An 11724-nucleotide genomic window follows, 5' to 3' on the forward strand; every position below is an offset into this window, starting at 1 on the left:
TGAAGAACTTCTTTTTGTTTTTCTTTTTTTGTTTTTTTTTGTGAGATGGAGTCTCACTCTGTCGTCCAGGCTGGAGTGCAGTGGTGCGATCTCGGCTCACTGCAACTTCTGCCACCCCCGAGTTCAAAAGATTCTCCTGCCTCAGCCTCCTGAGAAGCTGGGATTACAGGCGCCTGCCACCGCATTCGGCTAATTTTTGTATTTTTAGTAGAGACGGGGTTTCACCATCTTGGCCAGGCTGGTCTTGAACTCCTGAGCCTGTGATCCACCCGCCTTGAACTCCCAAAGTGCTGGGATTACAGGCGTGAGTCACCGTGCCTGGCCGAACTTCTTTTATTTTTCCCATTAGTTCATATTTCCTAGTGATGATTTTTTTTCAGTTTTTGTTGGTGAGGAAACGTATTTATTCTCCTTTCATTCTGAGGAATATTTTCCCTGAGTATAGAGTTCTAATTTGGGGAATTAGAATTTTTTCCTCTACAGATAGCCAATTATCCCAGCACTGTTTACTGAAGACTTCCTTGAATTTCCTTGACATTTTTCAAAAAAATTAATTTCCATATTAGCATGGGTCTATTTCTGGACTCTCTATTCTGTTCCATTGATATATCTATTCCTATGGCATTTATACCACACTGTATTGATTATTATAGGTTTATAGCAAGTCTTGACATTATTATAGGTTTATAGCAAGTCTTGAAAATCTTATGGCATTTATACCACACTGTATTGAAATTATAGGTTTATAGCAAGTCTTGGCTAGTTGTTTTATGCTAAAACAATTTTGAAAAAAGAACACAATTGGAAAAACATAACCAAAACATGTGCATTTCCATATAAATTTTAGAATTTGCTTGGAAATTTCTACAAAAAGTCTTGCTGGAATTTTGATTGGTATTGCATTGATATATCAATCTGGGGAGAACTGGCATCTTAAAAATATTGAGTGTCCCAGTCCACCAGCCTGGTATGTTTCTCTGTTTATTTAAGTATGCTTTAGTTTTTCTTTAAATATTTTGTTGTTTTTACTATGTGGGTCTTGCACATATTTTGTTAAATTAATGCCAAAATATTTTAATTTTCTTAATACTGTCATAAATTGAATTGTTATTTACATTTTTATTTTCTATTCTTTCACTATATATAGAAATACAATTAATTTTTGTGTTTTGAACATGTATCCTGCAACTTTACTAAATTGACTTATATTAATCCTTGTAACTTTTTTCTGGATTTCTTAGAGCTTTGTACATACAAAATCATGTCTGCAAATAGGACAGTTTTACTTCTTCTTTCCAATTTGCCTTTTTCTTTTTCTTGCCTTATTCACTATCTGGGTCTTACAATACAAATTTAAATGCAAATAGTGAGAGTGGATATGCCTGCTTTGCTTTGTTTGTGATTTTAGGTAGAAAACATTAAATCTTCACCATTGAGTTTGATGTTAGCTGTAGATTTTTTTTATAACCTTAATTGGATGAGGAAGACTTCTATTCCTAGTTGTTGAGAGATTTAGTGATGAAAGAGTGTTGATTTTTATCAAATGTTTTTTCTGCATCCATTTAAATAATTATATGGTTCTTTTTCTGTTTTCTATTCATAGAGTAGATTATATTGATTGATTTTCTGATGTTAAGCCAACCTTGCATTCTGAGATAAACCCCACTTGGATATGATAGATAGTATTCTTTTTACATGTTATTGGTTCTTATTTGCTATATTTTGTTAGGAACTTTTTGTTTCTATGCTCATGAGTAATATTGCTCTGCAGTTCTATTATCTTGTGATGTATTTGATTTTCTAATAAAGGTAATGTTAGCCCCATAAAACGATCTGGGAAATGCTCCCTCCTCTTTTATATTTTGAAAACGTTGGTGTAAGATTGGCGTCATTTCTTCCTTAAATAACTGGTGGAATTCCCCAGTGAAGTGATCTAGATCTGGAGTTTTCTATGTGGGAAAGTTTTTATTATTAATTTAAATAGGGCTGCCAAATTTTCTTGAGGCAGTTTTGGTAAATTTGCTTTTTAAGCCGGGCAAGGTGGCTCACGCCTGTAATCCCATCACTTTGGGAGGCCGAGGCAGGCGGATCACGAGGTCAGGAGATCGAGACCATCCTGGCTAACACAGTGAAAACCCGTCTCTACTAAAAATACAAAAAAATTAGCCGGGCGTGGTGGCGGGTGCCTGTAATCCTAGCTACTCGGGAGGCTGAGGCAGGAGAATGGCATGAACCCGGGTGGCGGAGCTTGTGGTGAGCCGAGATCGCACCACTACACTCCAGCCTGAGCGACAAGAGCAAGACTCCGTCTCAAAAAAAAAAAAAAAAAAAAAAAAATTTGCTTTTTAAGTAGTATTTTATCTAGATCGTCAAGCTTATCAGCATGGAATTGTTCACAGTATGCCCTTCTTATTCTTTTCATGTCTGAAGGACGTGTAGAAAAACCCCTTCTTTCATTCCTAATGGGGATTTGTCTCCTCTGTTTTCTTCACTAGTCTGGCTACAGCTGGTCGGTTTTATTGAATTTATTTCAAAAACGTGGCTTTTGGTTTTATTGATTTTTCTCTACTTCTTTTTTTTTTTTTTTTTTTTTGAGATGGAGACTCACTCTGTCGCCCAGGCTGGAGTGCAGTGGCACGATCTCGGCTCACTGCAAGCTACGCCTCCCGGGTTCACGCCATTTATCTTTTCTATTTTATTGATTTTTACCCTTTATCCTTTCCTTCCTTTTGTTTACTTTGAGCATAACTTGGACTTATTTTTATAATTTCTTAAGGTGGAAGCTTAGATCACTGAGCTTTATTTTTAGACTTTGCTTCTTTTCCCATGTAGGCATTAAAGCTACATATTTCCCTATATGTTCTGTTTTACCCTACATCCCACAAATTTTGATATGCTTTCATTATCATAGGTATATGATATATTATCAACATATTTTCTAATATTACTTGTGACTCTTCTTTGATCTAGTGATTATTCAGAAGTATGTTGAAGTCCAGATATTTGAAATTTTCCTGGTTATCTCATTATTATTGAATTCCAGTTTAATCCTTTGTGGACAGAGAACATAGCCTGCGTGATTTTAAACTATTCAAATTTATTGAGTTGTGTTTTGTGGCCCAAAATATGGCCTATCTTGACAAACACACCAGGTGCACTTGAAAATAATGTGTATTCTGCCATTTTTGGTGAAGTGTTCTATAAATATCAAGTCAAGTTGGTTGATAATATTGTTCAAAACTTCTATGTCTTTACTCATTTTCTGGTCTAATTGTTCTAGTAGCTGCTAGGTAGAGATGTTAATATTTGCAGTGATGTTTGTGGAACTATCTCTTCTGCACTTTCATTCTGTCAGTTACTTGCTTCATGTATTTTTGCTTCATATATTGGATGCATACAAATTTCGACTGTTGTGTTGTCCTTGACAATAAGACTTTTATCATTATGGAGTAATGAAATTATATGATAATACATTTCTTATTGTGATATAATTGACAGAACATAAAATTTCATATAATATAAAATTCTCCACTTAAAAATATGCAGTGTACATTTTGGCTTAAGTATATTTTGTCTGATATCAGTCTAGCCAGTCTAGCCTTTTGATGTCTACTGTTTGCATGGTGTATTTTTCCACCCATTTTCTTTCAACATATTTGTCAATATATTTGCTGGTTCTTCTCTAATAAACATATAGTTGGGTCTTGTTTTTTTTTTGGTCCATTTTGACAATCTCTGCCTTTTAATTGCATTGTTTAGTTCATCAACACTTGCTGCAACCATTCACATGCTTGCATTTGGGATCTGTCTTATTTTTTATTTTTGTCTCTTCTGTTGTTTTGCCTTTGTTCCTTCTTTTGTGATTTTTCTTTTTGAATTCTTTGAATATTTTTCAGAATTCCTTTTTAATTTTCCTGTTTTCATTTAGCTAGACTTCTTAATTTTTTTTAGTGGTTGTGGAAGGAATACACACACCACACACACACACACACACACACACACAACTTTTCACTGGGTGCTTATAATGATTACTTCACTACTTCACATAAAATATAGAAATCTTGCAATCCTATCAGTCCATGTTCCTTTCTATTTTATGGTTTTTATATGTAGTCATCTATAACATTACAAACCCCAAAAGACCATGTTATAATTTTTTAAATGTGGTTTATTAAAATAATTAAGAGGTAAAAGGCAAAAAGAAAAAAAACTTGTGTTTAGCCAGGTACTTGCCATTACTCATGCTTTTTATTATTTTCAGAGAATCCAAGTTTCTATATGGTTTTTCTCCAGACTGAATGACTTTCTTTAGTATTTCCTACAGTGCAGGTTTGCTGGTAACTAATTCTGTAACTTTTCTTTTAAATGAAAATGTCTGTTTGTTCGTTTTTTTTGAGACAGGGTCTTACTCTGTCACCCAGGCTGGAGTGCGCTGGTGTGATCACAGCTCACTGCAGCCTCAATCTCCCAAACTCAAGTGATCCTCTCCCACTTCAGCCTCGCAAGTAGCTGGGACTACAGGTATGCACCACCACACGTGGCTACATTTTCTATTTTTTGTAGATATGAGATCTTTCTATGTTGCCCCGGTTGGTCTCAAACTCCTGGGTTCAGGCGATCCATCTGCCTTGGCCTCCCAAAGTCCTAGGATTACAGGCATGAGCCACCATGCCTGGCCTATTCTTGAATGTTATTTTCATTGGTTATAGAATCTTGGGTTGACAGGTTTTTTGCTCCACTCTCTTCTGCCTTCCATGATTTTTGAAGAAAAGTTGGATGTTACTAGGATTGTTGCTCCCCGGTACAATCTGTCATTTTCCTCTTGCTGCTTACAAGTTTTGCGTGCTATCTCTGGCTTTTGTCTTTTGTTGTTGTGCTGCTATAACAAAATAACGAAGACTGAGGAACTTATAAAGAACAAAAATGTATTTTCTCACTGTTCTGGAGGCTGGGAAGTCCATGATTGAGGCACTGGCAGTTTTGGCGTCTGGTGAAGGCTTGTCTGTTCCATGGTACATAGTTCAGGAGTCAGTCAGAAACGTGGACACACAAAATGTGGGGATCCCCTCTCTTGCCTTTCCCTTGTAAACTTTTCCCCTCTCTTTTCAATGTTCACAATTTCTTGGCTTCACTTTTCTGGCTTCTCAGACCACAAATGCTGCAGGTTTTTTCCATGTTTGCACCCCCACTTCCACTGTGTGCACCACATGGAATTCACTTAGCCTCAGGCTAAAGTCTGGACAGATGAGAACCAATTTGTTCAGCTCCCCATCATCCTTTCTTCATGCCAGCTCACACTTTTCACTAGAGACTGTCTGCTTCTGTTCACTCAGTACTTCAGAGTTGCTTTTGTATTGAGTCCAGGTTTTGCAGTTGTTTTCTGAGGAGCATAGTCCTCTGGAAGGGTGTTAGTCATTGCTCCTACAAGTGGAACCTAAAAAGCATCATGGCCCCTCTTTCCTAGTGCAGGTGCACAGAGGCACATGAACCTCCTCCAGATTCATCCCACAAGAGAGCCATTGAGTTCATGGGACTCACCCGGTGGTCATTTTGCTGGTCCCTGAGGACATTATTGGGATGGACAGACTTCCTAGATGGGGAGATCTCACATGGTTTACCTGACTGTGGAGTAAGGACAACCGTGATAAGAAGGATGAAGTGGAAACCCCTAAAACTATGCCACCTCAGCCAAGAGAGTAAACCAGATGTATGACATCCCACTAGGAATGGCAGAAATTAAATTTGGAAAAAGTTAATTAGGATAAAAAAATGAAATAGTGAAGCCAAGGGGGCACCACTGCTTTTCTTGTCCTGGGTCACAGAGTTATGCTTGGCTTTAAAACTAAGTTTAAAATTTGACCCAGTAGGCACTTAAAAAGCTGCAGACCTAAGCTGGGAATGGTGGCTCACATCTGTAATCCCAGCTACTCATGAGGCTGCAAAGCAGGAGGATCACTTGAGCCTGGGAGTTCAAGTCCAGCCTGGGCAATATAGCAAGACTCTTAAAAAATAAAAAATTAAACAACATAAAATTTAAAAGTGCCTACCTCAGCCTATAGGCTAACTGATGGTTCTGTAAGATGTTCTTCCTATAATTCACAGGCATGTTAGAACCCACCATCAGTCTGTGGGATTTTAAGAAGCCTGTCTAAGAATATCTCAAGATGGGTCTCCAGGGTCATCATGGCTGGATTCTGCCTCTGCATGGGCCTTAAGAGCATGATCCATTCCCCATGATGCAAGAAGGATTTGAACACCTGACATGGCCAGTGACTCAGAGATTCTCAAGTCTATTAACCCACTGATACCACAAGGTGTCCCATGAGACACCAAGGGGGCTTTGGGACTCCAGGAAAAGGTCTTTTTCTCAAGACACCCAGTAGTGAGGAATTCTATAAGAATGGGTAGTCCACACAGGCTTGCTTTGTATGTATGTCTTATTTCCTCCCCTCACAGTCTCTAGCCTTTTCTCCAATTAAAACTCACTGTCTGAGGCCCCTTTGAGTCTAGTTCCGAAGGAGGACAGGAGGCCAGCCTCCACAGCAGAGCCAGTGCAAGGCTTGGTCTGTGCAGCCTTCTGCTTCTTGGTCTCTGCTCATTTTATCCTAAATGGAAGCATCCCGCGTGGCTGCCTCCCCAACACTATCATGGTAGATTTGTGTCTGTAAAGTTATCTAAGATGTGGTTCTGGGGTCTCTGAACACAGTCTGACTCTTCATTCCCTTCCCTCAGAGTTAGGAACAAAAGAATAATGCATGCGGCATTTAGATGCTGATTACGGGGTATGGGAGTTGGTAAGAGATGAGGGTGGAGGGAATATTCCTAGCAATTGGTGTATTTGGCTGATTGGTAACTGTTTATAGACTTGTTTCTTTCTAGCATGTACCCCTTGAAATCATTTTCTTTGTAAATGTTAAAAGCCATATGAAAAAAACCCACCACCTTGATTACTCTTCTTTGTACTTCAATCAGCAGCATGTCAGCCTCTGAATAAACTGTAATTCCTTCACTATGCCTGTCAAGGGAAGCATTTAGGCCACATTTAAAAATATATCTTGGTAAAGGTCTCAAGAACAATTAGCAATTAAAATACTCTATTTTCTACCTTTTACTATATAAACACGGCTGCTTGATTGATTTCACAGTCTTAGGTATTGCGCTGCTGGGGAGTCCCGTCTTCCCTAATTTCACAGCTCTTAGACTCATTGGAGGCATCTGAAGTGTTATGAAGCAGCTTTTGATGGTCATTAGTACATCTTTTTTTATTTGAGACAGGGTCTTACTCTGTGCCCAGGCTGGCATGCAGTGATGTGATCTCTGGTCACTGCAGCCTTGACCTCCTGGGCTCAGGTGATCCTCCCACCTCAGCCTCCTGAGTAATTGAAACGACAGGCACAAGCTTCCAAGCCCAACTACTTTTTTTTTGTATTTTTGTAGAGACAGGTTTTCACCATGTTGCCCAGGCTGGTCTCAAACTCCTGGGTTCAAGCAATCTGCCTACCTTGGCTTCCCAAAGCTCTGGGATTACAGGCATGAACCTTCCATGAATTTTTAATTTGATTTTTGTTTCCAAGTAAATCTCTAAAAGAATACTCATTAAAAATGAATCTTTCAAATCCTTAGTATTTGTATTGCTAACATTTACACTCCAGGATGATTTTCTATTAAAATGTATTGTCAAGTAATTTTGTCCACTTTCTCCATTATTTCGCCTGTTAAACTTATTTAACAAAATCACCATGAAATACCATCTCACACCAGTCAGAATGGATATCACTGAAAAGCCAAAAAATAACAGGTGCTGATGAGGTTGTGGAAAAAAGAAACACTTATACACTGTTGGTGGGAGTGTAAATTAGTTCAGTTATTGCGGAGAGCAGCATGGCGATTCCTCAAACAACTCAAAACAGAACTACCAGCGGACCCAGCATTCCCATTACTGGGGACATACCCAAAGGCATACAATCGTTCTATCATAAAGACACATGCACACGTATGTTCACTGCACACTATTCACACTAGCCAAGACATGGAATCAACCTAAATGCCCATCAATTGTAGACTGGATAAAGAAAATGGTACATGTACACCATGGAATACTACGCAGACATCAAAAGGAATGAGATCATGTACTTGGCAGGAAATGGATACAGTTGGAGGCCACCTCCCGACCTTAACAAACTAATGCAGGAACAGAAAACCAAATATCACATGTTCTCACTTATAAGTGGGAGCTAAATAATGAGAATACATGGACACATAGAGAGGAACAACAGACACTGGGGCCTGTTGGAGGGCAGAGGGTGGAAGGAGGGAGAGGATCAGGAAAAATAACTAATGGGCACTAGGCTTAATAGCTGGGTGACAAAATAATCTGTACAACAAACTGCCATGACTCAAGTTTACCTATAAAACAAACCTCCATGTGTACCTCAGAACTTAAAATAAAAGTTAAAAAAATAAAACACTGGTTTAAGGTCATTTTCTTTGTCTGTTTTTTTTTTTTTGTTTTGTTTTTTTCCTTTTTAGAGACAAGGTCTCTCTATGCTGTCCAGGCTGAGCTCGAACTCCTGGGGCTCAAGTGATCCTCTCGCCTCAGCCTGCTGAGTATCCCAAGTAGCTGGGACTACAGACTTGCGACTTTTAAGTCATTTTCAATCATGTCCTACAGTCAGCTGATTGTAAATGCATGCCCGTGTGCTAGCGAGACCACTGGCAGTGCCAGTGCAGCAGGACATTCAGTGCTCAGGGGATGCTGTGAGTGCAGCTAAGATGCCAGTGTGATGTATCATGTTCCTGTGTCTGCTTGCTTCATGGATACCCATGTTTTGTTTGATAGAGTGGAAGACGGTCTCAGATCTCCTTCTAGCCCCTTAGATGGGATTTGAACCACCCAAGGAAGGAACTATTTATGAAATTCTTTATAAGATACTGGATAAGGATCAGAAACAGGAAACAGGCTGACTGAGCTTCCAGTTTTTGGAGACTTCCCAAAATAACTAGGAGACATAAGGATGGCTATGTTTCTTTTCAGGCATGTCTACTGTAGTTTGGGCATTAAAAGTTAGCCCACAGAGGTGGCTTACCCCCATAATCCCAGCACTTTGGGAGACTAAGGTGGGAGGATCACTTTAGCTCAGGAGTTCTCACCTGGACAACATAGTGAGACCCCCATCTGTACAAAGAAATAAAAAATTAGCCAGGAGTGGTGGTTTGTGCCTGTTGTCCTGGCTACTCGGGAGGCTGAAGTGGGAGAATCACTTGAGTCCAGGAGTCAAGACTGCAGTAAGCCATAATCACAACACTGCACTCCAGTGTGGGCAACAGAGCAAGACCCTGTGATTAAAAAAAAAAAAAAAATAGTAATGGGTTGTCGCCACAGGCTAATCAAGCCTGGATGTAGCTTGTATACCTATGATGATTGTCATGCTAAATTAAAGAGAAAATTATCAAAATAAAACAATTTATACCTCTTTATTCTAATTTCAGTGGTAAAAAGAAAATTACATTTAGCAAATTAAAACTTCATAGAGATATTATTTCTTACCTATGAGATTGCCAAAAGTTCAAAAGTTTGCTAACATACTCCATTGGTCAGATTATAGAGAAATAGATGCTCTTATACATTGCTAATCAGAATACACAATGGCATAGCCCCTATCCAAGGCAATTTGGCAATACCTACCAAAAATATACATTTACACTTGGACCCAGCCATTTTATTTCTAGGAATCAATCCCAAAGATATACTGGCAAAAATAAGCAAAATAGAAGTGCAAGGATATTCATCACAGCACTGTTTATAAGAGCAAAAGATGGAAATAATCCAAATATCCATCAGTAGGGTACTGGTTAAATAAACTATAGTACAGCCACATAATGGGGTACTATCAAATTATGAAAAGAAATGAAGCCTACCTTGATAGTCTTCTAATAAAAAGGAGATTTCTCCAAATAAACTTTCTTTTGTAGATTTGCCTTTGAAACTATGGAAACATTTCACAGAATTTTAAAACAAAGTTAAATTTCAAAAAGCAATCCCCAAACAACCAAAAGCAAAATGAGACAGTGAACCCAATTCTACATCATGTTAGTGGCATGACCACACGGAGAGTAGGAATTTTAAGTAATTTAAAAACATGGTAATTCCACTCTATATCCATAATTGGCTGTTACCTCGGACAAAAAGAACTGTAAAAGAAGAAAAAATTGAACTGTTTTCACTACCTTTTACTTTTGGTAAATAAGTAATTATGTTAGTATCATTGGGAACTGGGACTTGGAGTATGGGTTTTTCCATAAGAAAGAAGAAACTGATGGAAGATTTCAAAAAGTTAATTTAAAAACCTTACAATTTTCCATTTGAGTTGGAAATACTAGTATGTAATAATATAAAACACATTTTATGTTTTATCTTTAAAAATTATTTCCCAATTCTGTCCATGAAAAGACCTTAAATCAAGGAGCAAGCCAGGGACAGTGAGCAGTTTGTTATCTCTAAATATTTCCCCATGAAAGGAACCAGGGCTCCTTGAAGAAATGGGTTTCTCCAGATCTGGGATGGGAAATGTATAAGATGAGCCTGGGTCATCTAGGCTTCTTACCAGAAAGCAAGGTAGCTATCAAACACTTACCTAAGGCCAGTTGGGGTGGCTCATGCCTGTGATTCCAGTGCTTTAAGGGTTACAGGCTGAGGAGGGCAGATTGCTTGAGGTCAGAAGTGTGAAACCAGCCTGGGCAACAGAGAAAGACCCCATGTCTACAAAATTAAAAAAAAAAAAAAAAGAATAGTGGGCATGGCAGCTCATGCCTGTAGTTCCAGCTATGTAAGAGGATTGCACGAGCCCAGGAGTTCAAGGCTGCAGTGAGCTATTGTACCATTGCACTCCAGCCTGGGCAAGAGTGAGACCCTGTCTCAAACAAAACAACCACTTAACTAGAATCGTGTCAAAAGAACTCAGGATCCAACTTGCAAGGGCTCACAGTGACTAAAAATGGGAAAAGTTGAGGATCAATAAGAATAGTATCGACAATATAGTGAATCACTTTAAATATGTTTAAGTCCATTAGTTCATAATAGAAAGAAAACCTTTATTGGCTCACTTTTGAGGCTATTAGATAACCAAATGATTATTTTGAAAATTGGGGCTGGGTGCAGTGACTCATACTTGTAAACCCAGCACTTTGGGAGTATGAGACAGGAGGATCATTTGAGGCCAGGAGTTTGAGATGAGCCTGGGCAATGTAGTGAGACCCCATTGCTAAAAAACTAAAAATAAATAAAAAAAATAGCTGGGTGTGGTGAGGCTCACCTGCTGTACCAGCTATTTGGGAGGCTGAAGCAAGGGGGATAGCTTGAGCCTGGGAGGTTGAGGCTGCAGTAAGCCATGATCACACCACTGCCTTTCAGCCTGGGCAACAGAGCAAGACCTTGCCTTGAAAAAGAAGAAAGAAAGGAAAGAAAGAAAGAAAGAGAGAAAGAGAGAGAGAGAAAGAAAGAAAGAAAGAAAGAAAGAAAGAAAGAAAGAAAGAAAGAAAGAAAGAAAAAGAAAGAAAGGAAGGAAGGGAAAAATTATGGTAAATAAAGGGAAAAATGGAAGCAATTTCTCTTTATACAAGTAATCCACTTAATAAATGGTTTGATCTATCATTCTATATTACCATGTCACAATCCCTACTGAAATAATGGGTCTAGGCAATGATCATCACAAAAAGAGGGGCAAG

This window comes from Homo sapiens, chromosome 10, assembly GCF_000001405.40.
Source record: "Homo sapiens chromosome 10, GRCh38.p14 Primary Assembly".
NCBI classification, from domain to species: domain Eukaryota; kingdom Metazoa; phylum Chordata; class Mammalia; order Primates; family Hominidae; genus Homo; species Homo sapiens.